This window comes from Homo sapiens, chromosome 16 (assembly GCF_000001405.40).
Source record: "Homo sapiens chromosome 16, GRCh38.p14 Primary Assembly".
NCBI classification, from domain to species: Eukaryota; Metazoa; Chordata; class Mammalia; order Primates; family Hominidae; genus Homo; species Homo sapiens.
In genome coordinates, this window is record NC_000016.10 from 10306700 (window position 1) to 10331965 (window position 25266).

The 25266-nt window shown below is 43.9% G+C and overlaps 3 annotated features.

Moving 5' to 3' along the window:
• Nucleotides 16443–16764: a transcriptional cis regulatory region, noted in NCBI's record as "candidate enhancer chr16.1137 targeted for multiplex CRISPR interference". NCBI's record gives its function as "positively regulates ATF7IP2 gene expression in K562 cells {active_cell/tissue: K562}" and the evidence as "EXISTENCE:mutant phenotype evidence [ECO:0000015][PMID:30612741]".
• Nucleotides 22853–23147: a silencer, noted in NCBI's record as "tiled region #5183; HepG2 Repressive DNase unmatched - State 5:Enh". NCBI's record gives its function as "represses a minimal TATA promoter and a strong SV40 promoter by Sharpr-MPRA in HepG2 cells {active_cell/tissue: HepG2}" and the evidence as "EXISTENCE:reporter gene assay evidence [ECO:0000049][PMID:27701403]".
• Nucleotides 24860–25060: a silencer, noted in NCBI's record as "peak2499 fragment used in MPRA reporter construct". NCBI's record gives its function as "represses an SCP1 promoter by STARR-seq MPRAs in K562 erythroleukemia cells {active_cell/tissue: K562}" and the evidence as "EXISTENCE:reporter gene assay evidence [ECO:0000049][PMID:32103011]".

The window sequence follows — 25266 nt, forward strand, 5'->3', positions numbered from 1 at the left end:
GGCCACTGCACTCCAGCCTGTGAGACAAAATGAGACCCAGTCTCAAACAAACAAACAAAAAAACATAGGCGGGTCATTTGAGGTCAGGACTTTGAGACCAGCCAGACAGTGAAATACTGTCCCTACTAAAATACAAAAAAAGATTAGCCAGGCATGGTGGCGAGCACCTGTAATCTCAGCTACTTTGGAGGATGAGGTAGGAGAATCGCTTGAACCCAGGAGGCGGAGGTTGCAATGAGCCGAGGTCGCGCCACTGTACTCCAGCCTGGGTGACAGAGCAAGACTCCGTTTCAAAAAAAAAAAAAAAAGGACATAACTCAGGAATGGCCAGCTAGAAGAGATGCATGGGACAGGTATTGGGTGATGGGGGCGCGTGCATGAAGCTTTCTTGCACTCCCTGGGCTCATCAGCCTCCCAGCACTTCAGTGTGTTCACCCATCTAGAAGCTTCCCAGACCTCATTGTTCAAGAGTTTTTCTCAAGCTCAATGTCTGTTGTTAAAAGGCGGGAGGATCACGAGGTCAGGAGATCGAGACCATCCTAGCTAACACGGTGAAACCCCGTCTCTACTAAAAATACAAAAAAAAATTAGCCGGGCGTGGTGGTGGGCGCCTGTAGTCCCAGCTACTTGGGAGGCTGAGGCAGGAGAATGGCGTGAACCCGGGAGGCAGAGCTTGCGGTGAGCCGAGATCGTGCCACTGCACTCCAGCCTGGGCGACAGAGCGAGACTCTTATCTAAAAAAAAAAAAAAAAAATTTCAACACTCCAACCACTTGGTCTTTTTTTTTCTTCTTCTTCTTTTTGAGTCAAAGTCTTGTTCAGTTGCCCAGGCTGGAATGCAATGGCACAATTACAGCTCACTGCAGCCTTGAACTATTGGGCTTAAATGATCCTCCCTCCTCAGCCTCTTGAGTATCCGGGACTACGGATGTGCATCACCATGCCTAGCTAATTTTTTAGTTTCTGTAGAGATACGGTCTCCCTATGTTGCCCACGCTGGTTTGGAACTTCTGGACCCAAGTAATCCTCCCACCTGAGCCACCCAAAGTACTGGGATCACAGGTGTAAGCCCCTGCAGTTGGCCTTCCTTGGTCTTCTGATGACCAACCCCATCCTGAAGCTATATAGGGGAACTACTCTAAGTCACCTTATTGGCATGAACTCAGGTGTGATGGAAAAGGGCTCCTTATGGATAACAAAAGACACTCCAGGCCAAGCACAGTGGCTCATACCTATAATCCCAACCCTTTGGGAGGCCAAGGCAGGAAGATTGCTTGAGTCCAGGAGTTCAAGACCAGCTTGGGCTTGGTAGGCAGAGTTTGCAGTGAACTGAAATCACACCAGTGCACTGCAACCTGGGCAACAGAGTGAGACCCTGTCTCAAAAAAAAAAAAAAAAAAAAAAAAGGCACTCCCATCACTCAGAAAACTCTAAGCGTTTTAGGAGCTCAGTACCAGGAACTGGGGACAAAAACCAAATATTTCTTTTTTTTTCAAGATGGAGTTTCTTGTCACCCACGCTGGAGTGCAATGGCACAATCTCAGCTCACTGCAACCTCCACCACCCGGGTTCAAGTGATTCTCCTGCCCCAGCCTCCCAAAGTAGCTGGAATTACAGGCGCGCACCACCACACCCAGCTAATGTTTGTGTTGTTAGTAGAGACGGGGTTTCGCCATGTTGGCCAGGCTGGTCTCGAACTCCTGACTTCAGGTGATCCTCCCACCTCAGTCTCCCAAAGTGCTGGGATTATAGGCATAAGCCACCATGCCTGGCCAAAAACCAATTTTTTTTTTATTAGACCACAACTTGTCTGTGTCTCTTCCCCTCTAGATTTCGAGCAGCCAAGGGATGTGTCTAGGCACTTTTCATTTCTACTGCCCAGCACATAGTTGTTATTCCAAGCTGCACCATGTTGTAAACCCCTGCCATTTCGCAACCCTAGTCAGAGTGGAAAATTCCAGTGGGTCTCGGCTGTGAGAAACACCCTACCAGACAAGTTCAGGCCTAACCGCCTGAACCCAGGAAATTCCCTCCTTAGCAGCTAGCCACATTGCCTGTCCCTTTTTGCAGCAAGCAAAGACCTGTCCCGTCCTGACCTGTAATTACCCAAGTCTGTAAGCGGGAGTGGGTTCCGGCACTAGCTGGTGTCCCCCTCTGCAGGGCTTTGATCTGTGTTGCTGTAGAGCCACCTCCATCCATTCCTTCTTCTTTTCGCGCTCTAACAATAGTAACACTTAAAACATACATAGCTGCTGGTGTCATTAATCTTGCCATTGGTGTTGTTGCTTGATTATTGGTGTAATGTCTACCTCATAGAGTAATCTAGCTCATTCAGTGACATGAGTCATTTACAGATGATTTAATGAATATTTTTCATTATCACCTCCCCCTAGGTCCAGAAAAGGCTGCTAACTTTCCCAAGACCTTTTAATTCTTTTTTCTTTTTTCTTTTTTCTTTTTTTTTTTTTTTTTGAGACAGAGTCTCTGTCGCCAGGCTGGAGGGCAGTGGCACGATCTCAGCTCACTGCAACCTCTGCCTCCCTCCTGGGTTCACGCAATTCTTCTCTCTCAGCCTCCTGAGTAGCTGGGACTGCAGGCACCCACCACCACACCTAGCTCATTTTTGTGTCTGTAGTAGATACAGGGTTTCACCATATTGGTCAAGCTGGTCTCCAACTCCTGACCGCAGGTGATCCACCCACGTCAGCCTCCCAAAGTGCTGGGATTACAGACATGAGCCACCGCGCCCTGCTGACCTCTTAACTCTTTAGAACAGAGTTCTAAACTTCCTGACTCTGAAGTTATCTTTCCATTTCATCCTCAAAGATACCCAAAGGACCTTTTAGCATACTGGTGATTGAGACAAAAGAATTTCCAAACCTGGAGACAAATCCCAACTCTTGCTTCCTGATTCTCTTTTCTATACTGTCTTCTCAGGTCATCCTTTCCCCATGGCTGCATAAAATAGATTGAATCAAATGGAGCCCATCATGCTGGCTGCTTCTCTCCGCTGGGGCCAGGAGCAGCCTGACTGCAGAGTCAGCTGAAGACAGACAGCAGTCAGAGTGCTGGCCTTCTCCTTCCAAAAACACAGCCGTTCAAGTTCACAGAGACTGAAGAATACGATAAACACAGATAAACGTGCTTGACGGTGAGTAATTTTTGTCTGGGTACGGAAAGAAGAATAACAGGAGAAAAGGCACCATTTTCTTGGCCTGAACCGCCTCCTCTGGTTTCTTTTTTTCTTTTTCTCTTTTCTTTTTTTTTTGAAACAGGGTCTCACTCTGTCACTCAGGCTGGAGTGCAGTGGTACAATCACAGCTCTCACTGCAGCCTCGACCTCCTGGGCTCAAGCGATCCTCCTACCCCAGCCTCCAAAGTAGCTGGGACTATAGGCACGCACCACCATGCCCAGCTAATTTTTTAATTTTTTGTAGCAATGGGGTTTCGCCATGCTACTTAGGCTGGTCTCAAACTCCTAAACTCAAGTAATCTGCCTGCCTCGGCCTCCCAAAGTGGGGGGATTACAGGCACCTCGCACAGCCCTGCCTCTGTTTTAAGAGACAAGAATTCAGATTTCCATCAAACCTCTCTTCTTAGAGCAAGTTGACCTCTAGGTGCAGGAAACCCTGACAGAGACTGGCCACAGGGCCCTGCGCCTCTCCCCAGCCCAGCACAAATAGAAGAGGCCAAAAAAGCAGATGTGATGGTTATGGTTCTACTGAACACTGGAAGATACTTACTGCAAGCTTTATACACAAATGCATCACCACACCTTTGTGAGGTGGGTCATATCGTCGCTGTCCCATCTATTTGTTGGTGGAGGAAACTGATGGTTGCAAGAGTGAGATTAACTTGCCCTAGGTTCACTCAGCTCATTATTGCCCAATAGATTTGTGGAATAATCAAGATTTAAATCCAGAATGAGATTCCAATCAATGGTATCCAGAGAAAAAAATAAAAAATAAAAATAAATCCAGGCCGGGCATGGTGGCTCACACCTGTAATCCCAACACTTTGGGAGGCCGAAGCAGGTGGATCACCTGAAGTCAGGAGTTTGAGTCCAGCCTGGCCAACATGGCAAAGCCCTGTCTCTACTAAATATACGAAAATTAGCCAGGTGTGGTGGTACAGGCCTGTAATCCCAGCTACTCAGGAAGCTAAGGCAGAAGAACCACTCGAACCCAGGAGGTGGAGGTTACAGTGAGCCAAGATCATGCCACTGCACTCCAGCCTGGGTAACAGAGCGAGACTCCCTCTCAAAAAAATAAATAAATAAAAATAAATCCAGTGTAGGCTGGCTTCAAGGCCTATGGTCTTTGATAGTGTTGTTGCTATGATTTTCCTTTGTTTTTAACTTTTTAAACTTTGAAATTATTTTAGATTTATCAGAAAGTTGCAAAGATAGCACCGATCATTCCTGTGTACTCTCACCTAGGTTTCTCTGATGTTAAGGTCTTACAATCATCAAAACCAAGAAATTAGCACTAGGACAATTCACTGCAGACCTTATTCATTTTTCACCGGTTTTTCCACTAATGTCCTTTGCCGCCTTCTGGGAGGAAAAATATTTCCTCTGCTCCCTTATTTTCACTGACAGGGTCCATACATTAAACTGACACAAGTCAGACTAGCAAGAGAAAAGACGTTTTATTTCCATATGTATGTATGCACATGGGAGTTCACAGAAAAGAAAATGTGACTCAAAGGAGTGGTTAGAATTTGGGGCTTATAGCCGGACGTGGTGGCTCATGCCTGTAATCCCAGCACTTTGGGAGGCTAAGGCCGGTGGATCGCTTGAGACCAGGAGTTCGAGACCAGCCTGGCCTACTTGGTGAAACCCCATCTTCACTAAAAATACAAAACATTAGCCGAGCATGGTGGCAGGTGTCTGTAACCCCAGCTACTCAGGAGTCTGAGGCAGGAGAATTGCCTGAATCCACGAGGCAGAGGTTGCAGTGAGCCGAGAATGCACCACTGCACTCTACTCCGGGCAAAGCGAGACTCTGTCTCAAAAAAAAAAAAAAAAATAGAATTTGGGGCTTATAATCCATCTTAATAGGTGAAGGATCACAGTACTTTAGGAGGCTGAGGCAGGAGGATCACTTGAGCCCAGGGGTTCAAGACCAGCTTGGGCAACAAAGTGAGAACTTGTCTCTACAAAAAAAAAAAAAAAAAAAAATTAGCTGGGCATGGTGATGCATAGCTGTAGTCCCAGCTACTTGGGAGACTGAGGTTGGAGGATTGCTTGAGCCTGGTAGGTCGAGGTTTCAATGAGTTATGATCGTACCACTGCACTCCAGCCCGGGCAACAGAGGGAGACCCTGTCTCGAAAAAAAAAGACAGGAAACGAAAAAGACAAAATAGATGAAGGAGAAGGGAAGAAAGAGCACTTGTGGAAAAACAAACGAGGTTTTGGAAAGATAAATGAGCCCTTAGGAGACTAGATGGGGGATATGACAGATTTTGTGACTGTCTGCTTTGGTGTGTGGCTGACTTCTGTCTCAGAGAAGATTGGAGTTGTTCCCAGGGATAAGATTTATGACAATAGAGTTCTTTTTTATTCTTTTGGGAGGCTCTGCTCTTAGGCAGATAAGAGATTTCAGAAAGTCAGAAGCCCTCGGCTCAAAACAATTTTTATGCCACACTGGCTTATTCTGGGGCCCTTCCCCATTTCAGAATCCAATTGGGGCCGGGCATGGTGGCTCATGCCTGTAATCCTAACACTCTGGGAGGCCGAGGCAGGTGAATCACTTGAGGCCAGGAGTTTGAGACCAGTCTGGCCAACATGGTGAAACCCCATCTCCACTAAAAATCCAAAAATAAAAGTAGCTGGGCGTGGTGGTGGGCACCTGTAATCCCAGCTACTCAGGAGGCTGGGGCAGGAGAATCACTTGATCCCAGGAAGCAGAGGTTGCAGTGAGCCAAGATCGCGCCACTGCACTTCAGCCCAGGCAACAGAGTGAGACCCTTTCTAAAAAAAAAAAAAAAAAAAAAAAATCCAATTGGGACCCCACCTTACATTTAGTTATGTCTTCTTGGTCTCCTCCAATGTGTGACAGTTTCTCCGTCTTCCTTTATTCCTCACCACTTTGACACTTTTGAGAAATATTGATCTTTTATTTTGTAGACTGTCCCTTAACTTGGTGTTTCCTCATGACTAGACTGAGGTTGTTAAACATTTACTAGCACACCACAGGCCGTTGGTTTGCATGAGAATGAAACAACAACTAGGGTTTCTCTTTATATATATTTTATATTTGATGCTCCCAAAGTGCTAGGATCAGCCAGGCGCGATGGCTCATCCCTGTAATCCCAGTGCTTTGGGAGGCCAAGGTGGAAAGATCACCCAAGCCCAGAAGTTCAAGGCCAGCCTGGGCAATTTAGTGAGATTCCATCTCTTCAAAAAATTTAAATATTAGCCTGCAGGGTGTGAACCTGTAGTCCCAGCTACTCAGGAGGCTGAGGAAAGAAGATCCCTTGAGTCCAGGAGGCCAAGGCTGCAGTGAGCTATGATCGCACCACTGCACTCCAGCCTGGGCAACAGAGTGAAACCTTGATTCTAAAAATAAACACAAAAAGGGAGGTGGAGCATAACTCATCATGCTTTAAGTGTGGACTGCACAGAGTGACTTCCTTACAAAGAGCACAAAGGGAGGGAAAGAGCAACTGTACAGTGAGAAACTTGATAAACACTACCTCAACCAGGTGATCAAGGCCAACATCAACCATGATAAGTCATGTCAACAGTATGCGCTGGTATCACTTGATAAAAATGGCATTTTACCACTATCATCTTTCTTCCAAAAATCCATAACCTCAGCTAATCATGAAAAAAAAACATCAGACAAATCTCAGTAGAGGGCCGTGCTGCAAATTGCCTGACCAGTACTTCTCAGAACTGTCATCAAAAACAAATTCTGAGAAACTGTCACAGCGAAGAGGACCCTAAAGAGACATGACAACTAAATGTAATTGGTATCCTTGATGGGATCCTGGAACAGGAAATCTGTCACAAGGTAAAAACTAAGGCAGTCCGAATAAAGTATGGGCTTTAGTTAATGCATCAATATTAGATCGTTGATTGTAACAAATGCACCACACTAATGTAAGCTAACAGGGGAAACTGAGTCAGGATGTATGAGGACACTGTACTACCTTCACAATTTTTGTAAAATGTAAAACTATTCTTTTTTTTTTTTTTTGAGATGGAGTTTTACTCTTGTTGCCTGGGCTAGAGTACAGTGGCGCAATCTCAGCTCACTGCAACCTCCACCTCCCGGGTTCAAATGATTCTCCTGCCTCAGCCTCCCAAGTAGCTAGGATTACAGGGAGCTACCACCATGCCTGGCTAATTTTTGTACTTTTAGTAGAGACAGGGTTTCACCATGTTGGCCAGGCTGGTCTCAAACTCCTGCCGTCAGGTGATCCACCTGCCTTGGCCTCCCAAAGTGTTGAGATTACAGGTGTGAACCACTGTGCCCAGCTAAAACTATTCTTAAAAAATTTAGTTTGTTTAAAAAAAAAAAAAAAAAGGAAAAAGTGACCATTTTTTAATCTCTCAAAAATATACCATTAACCTAAACCCTTAAAATATTTACATTCAGGCTGGACACAGTGCCTCACACCTGTAATCCCCGCACTTTGGGAGGCTAAAGAGGGAGGATCATTTGAGCCCAGGAGCCTAGGCAACATGGCAAAACCCCACCTCTACAAAAAATACGAAAATGAGCCAGGGGTAATGGCATGTCTGTAGTCCCAGTTACTCAGGAGGCTGAGATGGGAGGATCACTTGAGCCCAGGAGGTTGAGGCTGCAGTAAGCTGATTATGCCACTGCACTCCAGCCTGGGCAACAGAGCAAGATCCTGTCTCAAAATAAAATAAAATAAAATAAAATATTTGCATTCAAAAGGAGCTTCAGAATAGACCATATGAATAAAATATAGCAAGAGCTGCAGATAAATAGATTTCTCTAGAGAATATGAAAATAATACCCGGTACCTATTCAATGATACGAGGAACATGCAGAGGGGAGGGGAATTATTCCAATCAGTCTCCTGCTGCAGAAACCATAAACATAAAAATAGAAGTAGGCTATGAATCTCCCCTCAAGAATGGGAAGGTGATCAATAGCTTCCATCTAGCATCCATGCCCCACTGAGATGACATTCTTTCCAGAGGGGGAAAAATGAGCTGCCAATGAGAAATTGTTGAGATGACTAAGAAAGACACCATCTCAGGAACTTCCAAATTGAGTTTGACTGTTAGTCAATGTGTTGAGTAGTTGTTATATATCATTCCTTCTCCAGAAGATGGAGCTTTAGTCTAAAATAATGATGTAAGACAAGCCGGCAAGCTGGGCCCAGAATAATAGAATTCAAAGAAAATGCATAAATCGTGGTTACTATCAAGAGGGTTTGAAAAGCATTTTAAATCTCCTTGGAGACGGGTTCATTTGACCCGATTCTCTTACTCATTATGAGAATCCATTGCTTCAACTGTTTTCATCCAGGCAAAAAAGAAAATTTCAGTGGGAGTCATAAAAATGATTATGTATCATCTTATTTTTATTTGGTATTTCTCTTCCCAAAAGTCTAAAGGCTCACTATTATCTTGTAGTGCAGTTCATATGTTGATGGAAGTGACATTATTTATTTGTTTATTTATTTATTTTGAGATGGAGTTTCGCTCTTGTTGCCCAGGCTGGAGTGCAATGGTGTGATCTCAGCTCACCGCAACCTCCGCCTCCCAGGTTCAAGTGATTCTCCTGCCTCAGCCTCCTGAGTAGCTGGGATTACAGGCATGCACCACCATGCCTGGCTAATTTTGTATTTTTAGTATAGACGGGGTTTCACCATGTTGGTCAGGCTGGTCTTGAACTCCCAACCTCAGATGACCCACCCACCTCGGCCTCCCAAAGTGCTGAGATTACAGGCGTGAGCCACCGCACCCGGCCAAGGTGACATTTAAGTTCACTGTGGCAGTGAATTTATTATGCAGATAGGAGTTGCATGAATTTTCTCCAAAATATTCAGATATAAAATTCATTTTTGTCTAAAACAAATCAATCTGACTTAGCCCCCATGTCAGCCATAATTTTTCTCACATCTCGCCTCCATATGTAAAACTCTAGAGAGGAACTGATTAGCGTGAAAGGAAAATAAATCTTGGGACCCCAAAATCACTAAGCCAAAGGGAAAGTCAAGCTGAGAACTGCATAGGGCAAACCTGCCTCCCACTGTTTTCCTCAAAAAGATAAAAGCTACATACCGGCCAAGCATGGTGGCTGGCACCTGTAATCCCAGCACTTTTTGAGGCCCAGAACGTTGGGAGGCCGAGGCGGGTGGATCACGAAGTCAGGAGATCAAGACCATCCTGGCTAACACGTTGAAACCCCATCTCTACTAGAAATACAAAAAATTAGCTGGGCATGGTGGCACGAGTCTGTAGTCCCAGCTACTCGGGAGGCTGACGCAGGAGAATCGCTTGAACCCGGGAGGCAGAGGTTGCAGTGAGCTGAGATCTCACCACTGCATTCCAGCCTGGGTGACAGAGCGAGACTCCTAAAAAAAAAAAAAAAAAAAAAAAAAAAAAAAGGCTACATACCTCCCTCAAAAGGAATTTCCTTGTGGACAAAAGACAGAATTCAAAGTCATCCCCCTGCTCACTGAGATAAATGTATGTCCGATTGCCACCTTTGGAGAGGCTAAACAGAAACTCAAAAGAATGCAACCATTTGTCTCTTATCTACCTATGTATGACCTGGAAGCCCCCTCCCTGCTTCAAGTTGTTCCACCTTTCTGGATGGAACCAATATATATCTTACATTCATTGATTGATGTCTCACGTCTCCCTAAAATTTATTAAACCAAGCTTTGCCCTGACCACCTTGGCACATGTCATCAGGACCTCCTGAGGCTGGGTTACAGGCGCACATCCTTAACTTTGGCAAAATAAACTTTCTGAGTTGACTGAGACCTGCCTCAGATATGTGGGGTTCACACTGGCATACCTCAATTCACATGCTCATCTTTGAGCTTATCATAGTCACCTAGATGGTGGTCCCATGGGAAGCCAAGCTGGACCATGTGCCCATACCTATGTGTAGCCCGCAATGTGGGGCAATATAATTAGCCACTACCTACCTGCCCTAAGGTCAAATACTCTCAACAGAATTGAATTCTGCTGAGCATGGTGGCTCACACCTGTACTCCCAGCACTTTTTGAAGCCAAGGAAGGAGGATTACTTGAGGCCAGGAGTTCAAGAACAGCCTGGCCAATACAGGGAGACCCTCGTCTCTACAGAAAATTTTTAAGCCGGACGTGGTGCCTCACACCTGTAATCCCAGCACTTCGGGAGGCCCAGGCGGGTGGATCACAAGGTCAGGAATTCAAGACCCGCCTGGCCAACACAGTGAAACCCCATCTCTACTAAAAATACAAAAAAATTAGCTGGGCGTGGTGGCGGGTGCCTGTAATCCCAGCTACTTGGGAGGCTGAGGCAGGAGAATTGCTTGAACCTGGGAGGTGGAGGTTGCAGTGAGCCAAGATTGTGCCACTGCACTCCAGCCCAGGTGACAATGCGAGATTCCATCTCAAAAAAATAAATAAATAAATAAATAAATAAATAAATAAATAAACAAACATTTTTAAAAACTAGCTAGGCATGGTGGCACACACTTGTAGTCCCAGCTACTTGGGAGGCTGAGGTGGGAGGATCCCTTGAGCCTTGGAGGTCGAGGCTGCAGTAAGATGTGATCACACCACTGCACTCTAGCCTTAGCAATGGAGGAGGACCCTATCTCAAAAAAAAAAAAGATTGAATTCTGTTAGCTGAGAAGAGAGGGAAATGGATGTTTTTAGATAATAAACAGTGTCCGCTGTATGTATCAGTTAGCTATTGCTGCATAACCAATGACTCCAAAACTTGACCATAGTGAGCTATGATTGGGCTGAAGTGATCCTCCTGCCTCAACTTCCCAAGTAGCTGGGATGACACATGGGTGCCACCACACCCTGCTAATTTTTTAATTTTTCTAGAGCTTAGTTGCGCAAGCTGGTCTTGAACTGGTGGCCTCAAGTGATCCTTCTGCCTTGGCCTCCCAAAGTGTCAGATTACAGCTATGAGCCACCACATTTAGCCTTGAAGCAAATCTTGATGAGCAACCTATTTTAGCTATTTCACAGTCTCACCTGCTAAGGCAAGGATTTCCTGGAATGGGCAGCTAAGAGTTTTATGCTTGCTCCCTATATTATTTAATATAAGGATATTGAAAAGTATTCCTGATCTCAGTATGGCTTAATTCAGGAATAAAAAATTATGTCTGTTGGGCCAGGCATGGTGGCTCACACCTGTAATCCCAGCACTTTGGGAGGCCAAGGTGGGCAGATTGCTTGAGCTCACAAGTTTGAGACCAGCCTGAGCAACACGGTAAAACCCCGTCTCTACAAAAAATACAAAAATTGGCCAGGCATGGTGGTGCATGGCTGTAGTTCCAGCTACTCAGGAGGTTGAGGTGGGAGGATCGCTTGAGCCTGGGAGGCAGAGGTTACAGTGAACTGAGATTGTGCCACTGCACCCAGTCTGGGCGATAAAGCCAGGCTTTGTCTCAAAAAAAAAATTACATCTGTTTCTGTTCTCATATATAGTCAATGTGTTTTATTTAGTCACTGCTTTTCTCTAACTCTGGCTATCTCTGGGTGAGATACTCCATGACCTTACTTATAAGCACAAGATGATTTTGAACTGCAAACAAATGGGTTTTAATCGAGGCAAAACAGTTAACATTGAAAAAGCTAGCTAAATTCTAAGTTGAGAATTAGTTGAAAGGCCTGATTTCACTATTTCTGCAACCAGGACACAGACTCCCACACAACCTCTTTTTAAAAATTGCTTTATCTCCAGAAAAGCCAGTTTTCTCAACCAAAGTTCAGTACATTTTTACAGTAACACTGTAAAAAACACTGACACCAACAGATTCCAAAGAAAATGAAGCAAGATATAAAACTTAGATTACTACTCATTGAACATATGGCTAGACACTTTATTTAAAGGAAAGGACAAGGAATTCAGAAGGGCTATAATTAGAAAGAGTCTTCACGCACTGCTCACAAGAATAAGAAGCTTTCCCAGGGCCTTGCACAGATAAGACAATGGCCCCTGACATTTTAAGAAAATGGCCACATTGTACCAGGTCAATCAATGTGAAAAGGTCCACTCCATGAACAGAAAATTGTGTAATGTGACCTGTTTCTTTGTTGTCTATTGACACAGGTAAGATAATGGGCTGTGTTTTCTTTGTGGCTATGACGATCGTTTCCCTCTGTAGGACAGACAACCGGGCAGTGATCTGCTGGGTTCAGCCAATGTGATGAGCAGAAGTGGGAAGAAATCAGTCTCCTGTGCGGATAGAATCAGGAAACCCGTCTAATCCCACTCTTCTCCATTCCATTCTCCATACCGAAACCAGTGTCATCTTCAATGAGATAAAGCATATCTATATCACACCCCTGTTTACAAAAAACCATCACTACTGTCTCCGCTGCATTTGTCTTAATCGCATAATCCGGCTCCTAGTTCTTGGGCCAGTTTTACCATGTGCCAGTTCCCCCGAACCAGTTTCTCCCATTGGAAGGTTTTGTCTCTCTGCACAGCTCTGACCTCTGCCTGTGTTGCTCTTTCCCCAGAGCCTTGCCTGGCTGACTTCTACTCCTCCCTCATGTGGCAGGAAATCTCACCTTTGCAGAAAGACCTTCCATGCCAACCTACACAGCAAAGGTCTTCTCCCAGGCCATGCCCCTTTCAACTCTCAGCTCCTCACTTGTTTTCATCATAACAATTACCCCAAATGATAATGATGGTTTTTTTTTTTTTTTTTTTGAAACAGAGTCTTGTTCTGTTGCCCAGGCTGGAATGCTGTGGCGTTATCTTGGCTCACTGCAACCTCCCACTTCCTGGGTTCAAGCAATTCTCGTGACTCAGCCACCTGAGTAGCTGGGATTACAGGTGTGTACCACCATGCTCAGATAATTTTTGTATTTTTAGTAGAGTTGGGGTTTCATCATGTTGGCTAGGCAATTACAGGCGTGAGCCACTGCGCCCAGTTACAATGGATCTTATGTATCTGACCACTTACCCGTTTTGTCCTTCCTTCCTAGTAGAATTGGACTCCCATGCAAGTGGAGACCCAGTCAGTCTTGTTCACTGCAATCTCCCCAGGGCCTGCCACATCTAAAAGACATATTTTCTGATAAATGAATCATAACAGTTGTTTCTTTTTTTTTTTTTTTTTTTTTTTTTTGAGACAGAGTCTTGCTCTGTCACCCAGACTGGAGTGCAGTGGTGCCATCTCGGCCCACTGCAACCTCTGCCTCCCGGATTCAAGTGATTCTCCTGCTTCAGCCTCCCAAGTAGCTGGGAGTACAGGCGTGTGCCACCACGCCCAGCTAATTTTTTGTATTTTTAGTAGAGACGAGGTTTCACCGTGTTACCCAGGATGGTCTCCATCTCCTGACCTTGTGATCCGCCTGCCTCAGCCTCCCAAAGTGCTGGGATTACAGGCGTGAGCCACCGCGCCCGGCCAAGGTCAGGAGTTCTAAACCAGCCTGGCCAACATGGTGAAACTCCCTGTCTAATTAAAAAAAAAAAAAAAAAGCCGGGCATGGTGGCATATGCCTGTCATTCCAGCTACTCAGGAGGCTGAGGCAGGAGAATCACTTGAACCCAGGAGGCCGAGGTTGCAGTGAGCCAAGATCACACCACTATACTCCAGCCTGGGCAACAAAGCAAGATACCATCTCAAAAAAACAAGAAAAGAAAAATCACTTTATATATATATATTTATATATATTTATATATATTTATATATATATTTATATATATTTATATATATTTATATATATTTATATATATTTATATATATATTTATATATATTTATATATATATAATTTTTATATATTTATATATATAATTTTTATATATATTTATATATATTATTTATATATATAATTTATATATATTTATATCTATAATTTATATATATATTTATATCTATAATTTATATATATATTTATATATATAATTTTTATATATATTTATATATATTTATATATTTTATATATATATTTGTGTATATTTTTATATATTTTTTATATATATTTATGTATATATTTATATATATATTTATATATATTTATATTTATATATATATATTTATATATATTTATATATATATTTATATATATATTTATTTATATATATTTATATATATTTATATATATTTATATATATTTATATATATATTTATATATATTTATATATATTTATATATATTTATATATATTTATATATATATTTATATATATTTATATATATTTATATATATTTATATATATTTATATATATTTATATATATATTTATATATATTTATATATTTATATATATTTATATATATTTATATATTTATATATTTATATATATTTATATATATTTATATATTTATATATATTTATATATATGTATATATATGTATATATATTTATATATATGTATATATATTTATATATATGTATATATATTTATATATATATTTATATATATATTTATATATATTTACATATATTTATTTACATATATTTATATATATTTACATATATTTACATATATTTTTATATATTTACATATATTTATATATATTTACATATATTTACATATATATTTACATATATTTTTATATATTTTATATATATTTATATATATATTTTTATATATTTTTATATATATATTTTTATATTTTTATATATATATATATATATATATGTATGTATGTATATTTGAGACAGGGTCTCGCTCTATTGCCCAGGCTGGAGTGCAGAGTGGCATGAGCTTGACTAAGTGCAGCCTCACCCTCCTGGGCTCAAGTGATCCTCTCACCTTAGCCTCCTGAGTAGCTGGGACTGTAGGCAACGCACCATCATGCCTGGCTAATTTTGTTCATTTTTTGTAGAGACAGGGTCTCACTATGTTGCCTAGGCTGGTCTCAAATTCCTGGCCCCAAGTGATCCTCCCACCTTGGCCTCCCAAAGTTCTGGGATTGCAAGACTGAGCCACTACGCTCAGCCTTAGCTTTGTTATTAATTTGGAAGGCTTTTACATCTGTTTCCCAACTGATGGGAGTAAAGACATGCCCTTGCTATGTAGGTCTAAGAAGCAGCTGCAGACATGGCTTACATACCCCCAGCCCCCATTCCTTCCTCTCTCAGTTGCTCTTCCTTGAACCATACCTGCCCCCCCCCTCCAACGTCCTCTTCTCTCTGCCCAAGGGCTGGCGTCTTGGTTGTTTTCTCTTTTAAGCCAGGCTCTAAGTGTTTACTTCTCTTGTTCTATAATGATTTCTCCCTTTCCCAGAGACATGTGACATTTTTCAGCTCCTTATTCTTTTTTCCAAGGGCCTTTATCTGCTCCACTCCCATCTCACCAAGGCCAACCACATTTGTTATCCTCAGAGGCATGCTTTTTATCCATTTTACCCTGTGCACAGCAGCTGGCCCCTACATAAATGAGCTACATTCTCAGCAGCTTTAAGGAAAGAAACTTGAAAGAAGGGGGAACCAAGAAGATATAAAGTTGGGCACCCCTTCTAATAAGGCTTCGAAAGCAGGGGTCACATGGAAAGGCAAGGACTTTCTTTTTTTTTTCTGAGATGGAGTCTCACTCTGTCACCAGAACGCAATGGCCTGATCTCAGCTGACTGCAACCTCCGCCTCCCAGGTTCAAGCAATTCTCCTGCCTCAGCCTCCCAAGTAGCTGGGACTATAGGCACGCACTACCACACCGAGCTAATTTTTGTATTTTTAGTAGACATGGGTTTTCGCCATGTTGGCCAGGCTGGTCTCAAACTCCTGACCTCAAGTGGTCCACCCGCCTCGGCCTCCCAAAGTGCTGGGATTATAGGCATAAGCCACCACTCCCAGCCGACTCTGTCTTTAAAAAAAAAAAAAAATCCGTATTCCTTTTCGTGTTTTTATGGGTCATGGGGTTGTCAGAAAAAGGAAAATTCAAAAGAAACTGTTAACAGTGACCCACAATAGCTACAGTTAGGCACATGGTTTATAAACCTATGACTATATGGCCGGGTGCAGTGGCTCATGCCTGTCATCCCAGCACTTTGGGAGGCCAAGGTGGGTGCATCACTTGAGGTCAGGAGTTCAAGACCAACGTGCCCAACATGGTGAAACCCCGTCTCTACTGAAAAATAGAAAAATTAGCTGGGTGAGGTAATGGGTGCCTGTAATCCCAGCTACTGCAACAGCTGAAGCAGGAGAATTGCCTGAACCTGGGAGAAGGAGGTTGCAGTAAGCCGAGATCATGCCACTGCATTGCAGCCTGGGCAACCAAGCGAGACTCCGTCACAAAACAACAACAACAAAAAAAACCCTATGCCTATAAACTAAAGCTGACCTCTTGCCTGTGTGCCTGTGTAACTGGAGCTTGTTAAACATTTCACTGACAGGTACTGGGTATAAACTTGTTTATCTGAGGTAGAACAAAGACAGGCTGGAATCAGCCACCCTCCACCAGGCCCTAAGATGCCTAACCTTTCTCCTGACCCGCTCAACTGCTCTTTTACCTTATCTTATGTATACAGTCACGGAGCACCAATGAGAATCACAAAAATGTAACCCTTGCTTCTCTCCCCTCTTCTCCTACCTTCTGTGCCACACACATCCTCCTGTTTGAAAATGTGTATATACTGTGCCTTGCACAACCTACATTGGGACAGATTCTTGGTCTATATTGAGTATGTGTTCCCAGGCTTCAGTCCTCCAACTTGACTCAGAGTAAATCTAACCGTGATTTCTCTAAGTGCTAGCACTTGTAATTTCACTTTTTGGTTGGCAGGGTCACAGATTTTTTTCTCTCCTCCCTAAAGCTCTTCCCCTGGTCCACCCATCTTTTTTTACCTGCAGGTATATTTGCACAGAGAAACCAGAACTAACAAAAATCTACAGTTATGACCATTATCAATACCCAGTTTCGGAAAGTTTCTGTGGAAACTCCCTATGATCAGACAAAAATATTGGCCTGTGCATAGGAATTCAGTAGTGGCCATTTCAAAAGCAAAGTCTATAGAAAGATGTTAAAATGAAAATAAATACACTAGCCAAAAAAAAAAAAAAAAAAAAAAACCCCAGCTCAGCCAGGCGAGGTGGCTCATGCCTGTAATCCCAGCAATTCGGAAGGCTGAGGCAAGAGGATCACCTGAAGTCAGGAGTTCGAGACCAGCCTAGCCAACATGGTGAAATCCCGTCTCTACTAAAAATACAAAAATTAGCCAGGCATGGTGGTGTGTGCCTGTAATCCCAGCTACTTGGGAGGCTGAGGCAGAAGAATTGCTTGAACCCAGGAGGTGGAGCTTGCAATGAGCCAAGATCGTGCCATTTGCACTCCAGCCTGGCAACAAGAATGAAACTCCATCTCAAAAAAAAGAAAGAAAAGAAAAAGAAAGAAAAGAAAAAAAAAATAGGCTGAATTGCAAATACAACAAAGACAAGTGGAAATTTATAGCCCAGAAACAGGGTAGGGATCCATGAGTGGAAAATTAGCTAAAGGAAACATTAGTGGTAAGAGAAGAGGATTCTGGCTAAATGGACCTAACAGGACTCTTGCTGCAGGTAAGCCAGGGTGATCTGGAATGTGATCAGATATCCAGGGTTGAGGATTCTGGCTAAACTGACTTAGCAGGATTCTTGCTAAAATTGGGCGATACAAAAAAAAAAAAAACACCATGGAAGTCCAAGAGTTGAGACCTAACTGGGAAGAGGATTTCGATGAATCTCCCTAAAGCTTGGTCAAGGGGAGGCTCTTTGTCAATCCTTAAGACAACTACTCTAGCCAACCACAGTGGCTCATGCCTGTAATCTCAGCACTTAAGGAGGTCGAGGCGGGTGGATCATTTGAGGTCAGTGGTTTGAGAACAGCCTGGCCAACATGGTGAAACCCCATCTCCACTAAAAATACAGAAGTTAGCTGGATATAAAAGTGTTATTCTCTTTTATAAATGAGAACATTGAGGGGTACAGAGGGCTACTAGCTGTGGCATTCAGTATACCATGCTTAGCCAGGAGATTTTATGGAGGGAATGGTGGGTGTAGGTCAATCTGCCATACATGCAGCCACTTCTTCTCAATCAGTGGTCACTTAATCCTCTCCTTGTACCTCAACTTCATTTAGAGGATAATTAACTACCGTAGGAGTGAAAAGGTAATAAGTTATCCTCACCCATTACAAGGGTCATTGCCAACACTCCTACAACAAAAGACAGATTAATAAGAGAAAAACATAACAAATGAATTTAACAAAATTTTGCATGACACGAGAGCCTTCAGAAACAAAGACCCAGAGGAAACTGTATTTTTATGCTGAGATTCACTGGAAAATGAACAGTTGTGTACAAAGATGATTTGACAAGAAGAGTATGATCTACTGTTAATAAACTGGGGGTGGTGCAGGGCCTCTGGGCATAGAGCAGGATCTCTCTGGAATTGTCACCAGAAAGGGGTTCCTTTCCAGACCCCAAGAGAGGGTTCTTGGATTTCACTCAAGAAAGAATTTAGGGCGAGTCCATAGAGTAAAGTGAAAGCAAGTTTACTGGAAAATTTAAAAAAATAAACAAATGGTCCAGGCATGGTGGTTCATGCCTGTAATCCCAGCACTTTGGGAGGCTAAGGCAGGTGGATCACCTGAGGCTGGGAGTTGGAGACCAGCCTGACCCACATGGAGAAACCCCGTCTCTACTAAAAATACAAAAATTAGCCAGGTGTGGCTCTGGGTGCCTGTAATCCCAGCTACTCAGGAGGCTGAGGCAGGAGAATCACTTGAACCCAGGAGGCGGAGGTTGTGGTGAGCCGAGATCACGCCATTGTATTCCAGCCTAGGCGACAGAGTGAGACTCCATCTCAAAAAATAAAAAAAATAAATAAAAGAATAGCTATTATTCCATAAGCAGAGCAGCCCCAAGGGCTGCTGGTTGCCCATTTTTGTGGTTATTTCTTGATGATATGCTAAACAAGGGGTGGATTATTCATGCTTCCTCTTTTTAGACCATATAGGGTAACTTCCTGACGTTGCCATGGCATTTGTAAACTGTCATGGTGCCGGTGGGAGCATAGCGATGAGGACACCCAGAGGTCACTCTCATCGCCATCTCGGTTTTGGGTTTTAGCCAGCTTCTTTACTGGAAGCTATTTTATCAGCAAGGTCTTTATGACCTGTATCTGGTGCCAACCTCCTATCTCATCCTGTGACTAAGAATGCCTTAGCCTCCTGCAAAAGCCGCCCAGTAAGTCTCAGCCTCATTTTACCCAGTTCCTATTTAAGATGGAGTTGCTCTGGTTCAAGTGCCTCTGACAGAATGAGGATCTTAGGTCCTACTTTCAGGCAAGGTAATGTAACTGTGTAACAGATTCTCCTTGCCCACTGCCTCGACAGAGCCAATTTAAACTGATGCATTAAGACAGGGGAATTGCAATAAAGAAAGAGTTTAATTCACACTGAGCCAGCTGTACGAGAGACCAGAGTTTTAATATTACTCAAATCAGGCTGCCCAGAAACTCAGGGATTGGGGTTTTTAAGGATAATTGGATGGGTGGACATTTGGAAGGTGGAGAGTGCTGATTGGTTAGGTCAGAGATGAAGTCATAGGGAGTGGAAGCTGTCCTTTTGCGCTGAGTCAGTTACTGGGTAGGGGCCACTAGACCAGATGAGCCAGTCTATCGATCTGGGTGGTACCAGCTGATCCATCAGGTACAAGGTCTGCAAAATATATCAAACACTGATCTTACGTTTTATGATAGTGATGTTACCCCCAGGAGCAATTTGGAGAGGTTCAGAATCTTGCACCCTCTAGCTACATGACCCCTAAACCATAATTTCTAATCTTGTGGCTAGTTTGTTGGTCCTGCAAAGGCAGTCTAGTCCCCAGGCCGGAAGGGGGTTTGTTTTGGGAAAAGGCTGTTATCATCTTTGTTTCTAAGTTAAACTATAAATTAAGTTTCTCCCATAGTTTAGCCTATGCCCAGGAATGAACAAGGACAGCTTGGAGGAGAGAACCAAGATGGAGTCGGTTGGGTCAGATCTCTTTCACTGTTATAATTTTCTCAGTTATAATTTTTGCAAAGGCACTTGCAATCAGCCAGAGAATTCCTTTATGGCCGGCTCTCACACTGAAAGGTAGGGGAGGGTCAGAGCCGCTTTCTTGCTTCTGAGGCTATTTCAGTTGCCAAGATGCCACATATCGGAGTATCATGTTCTGAGAACCAACAGGAGTAACCTTCAAGGCCTCTCAAGGTGAAACTCACATATTCTTTGTTTTGTTTTGAAACAGGGTCTCGCTCTGTCACCCAGGCTGGAGTGCAGTTGCATGATTATAGCTCACTGCAGCCTCCAACTCCTGGGCTCAATCGATCCTCCCGTCTCAGCCTCCCAAGTAGCTGAAACTACAGGCATGTGCCACCACACCCAGCTAATTTTTTTTATCTTTATTTTTATTTTTTGAGATAGAATTTCACTCTGTCACTCAGGCTAGAGTGCAGTGGTGCAATATTGGCTCACTGCAGCCTCTGCCTCCCGCGTTCAAGTGGTTCTCCTGCCTCAGCCTCCCAAGTAGCTGGGACTACAGGCGTGCACCACCTCACCCAGCTGATTTTTTTATTTTTAGGAGGGACAGGGTTTCACCATGTAGGCCAGGCTGGTCTCAAACTCCTGACCTCGAGTGATCCACCTGCTTCAGCCTCCCAACGTGCTGGGATTACAGGCATGAGCCACCACACCCGGCCACCCAGCTAATTTTTAATTTTTTTGTAGACAACGCCTTGCTGTGTTGCCCAGGGTAGTCTCAAATTCCTGGGCTTAAGGATCCTCCTGCCTTGCCCTCCCAAAGTGCTAGGATTGTAGGTGTGAACCACCATGCCCAGCCAGAACCCACATATTCTTCTTTGCCTGTATTCCAAGTGAAGAGCATCAGGACATGCTACCCTAAAATATGCCACTTTGACATAAGAATTATTTTGAGCTGAAGGCATTTCATTTTCTAAAACCCCTAAAATAAGTCAAAGAAACTCAATTGTCATAAATCCCCTTCCCAGGAACAATTCTACTCTTCTCAGAGAGGAGTCGCCAGCACACCCAAGCACTCATTGTCACAAGACCATCATATCTCCTATCTGTTCTCATAAGGGCCCATTCATCCTTCCAAAAAGTCATTTGCTTTTCCATAAATGCCCTTTCACTGCCCCCTCCCACCTGTCCTCTGCTAAGTTAGGTATTATAGAGCCCCCAATTTTTATGTATTAGTTATTATTATTATTATTATATTTTTGAGATGAAGTTTCACTCTTGTTTCCCAGGCTGGAGTGCAATGGTGTGATCTCAGCTTTTTGCAACCTCTGCCTCCTGAGTTCAAGCGATTCTCTTGCCTCAGCCTCCCGAGTAGCTGGGATTACAGGCGCCCGCCACTAGGCCCTGCTAATTTTTGTATTTGTAGTAGAGACGGGGTTTCACCATGTTGGCCAGGCTGGTCTCAAACTCCTGACCTCAGGTGATCCACCCTCCTCGGCCTCCCAAAGTGCTAGGATTACAGGCATGAGCCACCATGCCCGGCCTATTATTATTTTTTTGAGACAGGGTCTCATTCTGTCACCCAGGGTAGAGTGCAGTGGTGCAATCATGACTCACTGCAGCTTCAACCTGGCCTAGAGCCCAGATTCTAACCACTGCTTTTGTCAGAGGCCTTAAAACCAGCATGCCTCCATCTTGAGTGAGGGCTAGGAAAATGAGGCTGGGACTTACGGGGCTGCATTCCCAGAAAGGTATTCCTAGCCTCTAGATGTTTACAGTTAAGGGAACAGATTGATAGTGTTTACCGAACAGACTCAGACTTGGGAGTGTCCAGATATCCCGATATCTGGAGAGCAAAGGCATCCCTAATTTTGGTTTAAAGATAATAGGCCTGGCATGGTGGCTCACACCTGTAATCCCAGCACTTTGGGAGGCTGAGGTGGGCAGATCACCTGAGGTCAGGAGTTCCAGACCAGCCTGGCCAACATGGCGAAACCCCGTCTCTACTGAAAATACAAAAATTAGCTGGGCATGGTGGTAAACACCTGTACTCCTGGTTACTCGGGAGGCTGAGGCAGGGGAATCGCTTGAATCTGGGAGGCAGAGATTGCAGGGAGCTGAGATAGCACCACTGCAATCCAGCTTGGGTGACAGAGCAAGATTCTTTTTTTTTTTTTTTTTTTGAGACAGAGTCTCACTCTGTTGCCCAAGCTGGAGTGCAGTGGCCCCATCTCGGCTCCACCTCCCGGGTTCATGCCATTCTCCTGCCTCAGCCTCCCGAGTAGCTGGGACTACAGGTGCCCACCACCACGCCCAGCTAATTTTTTTAGTAGAAACGGGGTTTCACCACGTTAGCCAGGATGATCTCGATCTCCTGACCTCGTGATCCTCCTGCCTCGGCCTCCCAAAGTGCTGGGATTACAGGCATGAGCCACTGCGCCCGGCTGCAAGACTCTTATCTCAAAAAGAAAATAATAAAAATAGGCCGGGCATGGTGGCTCACGCCTGTAATCCCAGCACTTTCGGAGGCCAAGCTGGGCAGATAACCTGAGGCCTGGAGTTTGAGACCAGCCTGACCAACATGGAGAAACCCCATCTCTACTAAAAATACAAAATTAGCCAGGCATGGTGGTGCATGCCTGTAATCCCAGCTACTCGGGAGGCTGAGGCAGGAGAATCGCTTGAACCTGGGAGGTGGAGGTTGCAGTGAACCGAGATTGCACCATTGCACTCCAACCTGGGCGACAGAGTGGAACTCCGTTCAAAGAATAAAAAAAAAAAAAAAAAAAAAAGCCCCAGAACTTGTGACATTAACCTGTGCTTGCAGATGTGCTTGCTTACAGAAATGAAGGCCGGATGTCAGTAACCACAAACGAGCCACAGGATAAGAACTGTGGCTCCCAAGTCTGAGTCTGTATAGTAAACACTACCATCCTGCTACCCGGACCTGAATCCTTGCTTTTTCGCTGTATGAAAATATTCACCTGGGATGGGGAGAAATGTGCTTTGCTAGGCATATATAGTGCCAGTGGAAAAGAAAGAAGGAGACTGTGCATGCTCCAGTTCTCCCTGGAAGGTCCCACCTTTTTCCATAAATCACCACCCCCCAGTCTCCACCTACATGTTCTAAGAGACCTTAAAAACCCCCCTTCACCATACCCTCAGGGAGAAGGTGCTTTGAGCATGTGCTCTACTTCTCCATTTCTTTTCTTTTCTTTTCTTTTCTTTTCTTTTTTTTTTTTTTGAGACAGAGTTTTGCTCTGTCGCCCAGGCTGGAGTGCACTGGTGCAATCTCGCCTCACTGCAACCTCCGTCTTGCGGGTTCAAGCAATTCTCCTGCCTCAGCCTCCCAAGTAGCTGGGATTACAGGCACCCACCACCATGCCCAGCTAATTTTTTTTATTTTCTGTACAGATGGGATTTCACCATGTTGGCCAGGCTGGTCTCGAACTCCTGACTTCAGGTGATCCACCTGCCTCAACTTCCCAAAGTACTGGGATTACAGGTGTGAGCCACCACGCCCGGCCTGAAATTTTTTTTTTTTATCAACACGGAACTCCAAAAGTTGAAACCTACTGGACAAAGAGTTTAGGAGAACCTGAGTAGAGTTTGGTGAAGAAGAGAATCTCTGTCACAGGTCATTTGAGTGTTTGAATAGAGCATTGTTCTACGCTTGACATCGGGGACTCTATCTTGGGCTACTGACCCCAGACTGAACTAATGATGAACTTTTTTTTTTTTTTTTTTTTTGAGACAGAGTCTCTGTCTCCCACGCTGGAGTGCAGTGGCACGACTATGGCTCAGTGGCTCACTGCAGCCTCAACCTCCCAGGCTTATGCAATCCTCCTGTCTCAAACTCCTGAGTAGCTGGAACGACAGGTGTGCACCACCACACCCAGCTAATATTTTTGTATTTTTTGTAGAGACAGAGTTTCACCATGTTGCCCAGGCTGGTCTTGAACTCCTGGGCTAATCTGCCTGCCTCAGCCTCCCAAAGTACTAGGATTTTAGGTGTGAGCCACTGTGCCTAGATTGGGTGGTGGACTTTGAGACCCACAAAGAACTGTGAAAAACAGTTCTCTCACAAACAACCATGCTCTCGACAATATACAATACAAGGAATCTGGTCCTAATCTTTAGGGACAGTCTGTGTAGTTTTTTCCTAACTGACCCAAATGTACCCTTCCACTAATGACTAACAACTTCTTTGCTTAATCCATCAATAAAATAATCTGGTAATTTATGTCATCTGAAAAATTTCCTATAAGCCTTTCTTGTCCCTCTTGGGTGGTGGTCTCTGGGGCCTGGTTGCAACCCCCATTCCTGAATAAATGCTTATTTGCCTCTGACCTGTTGATTCCTTTTTTTTTCTTTCTTTCTTTTCTTTCTTTCTTTCTTTTTTTTCTGATAGTCTGGACAAAATCTGAACAGAATTTACAGAAAAGTAGAAGAGAGAATAATTGAAGCATCTCTTATTGGGTCAGGTGCAGTGGCTCACTCCTGTACTCCCAGAACTTTAGGAGACTGAGGCGAGAGTATCACTTGAACCCAGGAGTTCAAGACCAGCCTGGACAACAGAGCAACACCCCGTCTCTACAAAAAGTAAACAATAAATTAGCTAGGCTTGTTGTGCGCGTCTATAACCCAGCTACTCAGGAAGCTGAGGCAGAAGGAGCACTTGAGCCCAGGAGCCTGAGGCTGCAGTAAGCTATGATGGAATGACTGCACTACAGCCTGGGCAACAGAGTGAGACTTGTCTCCAAAAAAATAAAAATTTAAAAGAAAATCTTATCTCTGGATTGCCTCCTGTACTCCTCCTTCTATGTCAGCCTTGGAGGTGCGTGTTTACAGTTCCAAGGATCAGAAAGCCCATAATTTTTTTTTTTTTTTTTGAGACGGAGTCTCGCTCTGTGTCGCCCAGGCTGGAGGGCAGTGGTGTGATCTCGGCTCACTGCAACCTCCACCTCCCGGGTTCAAGCGATTCTCCTGCCTCAGCCTCCTGAGTAGCTGAGATTACAGGTGCGTGCCACCATGCCCAGCTAATTTTTGTATTTTTAATAGAGACAGGGTTTCACCATGTTGGTCAGGCTGGTCTCAAACTCCTGACCTTATGATCACCGGTCTCCTCAGCCTCCCAAAGTGCTGGGA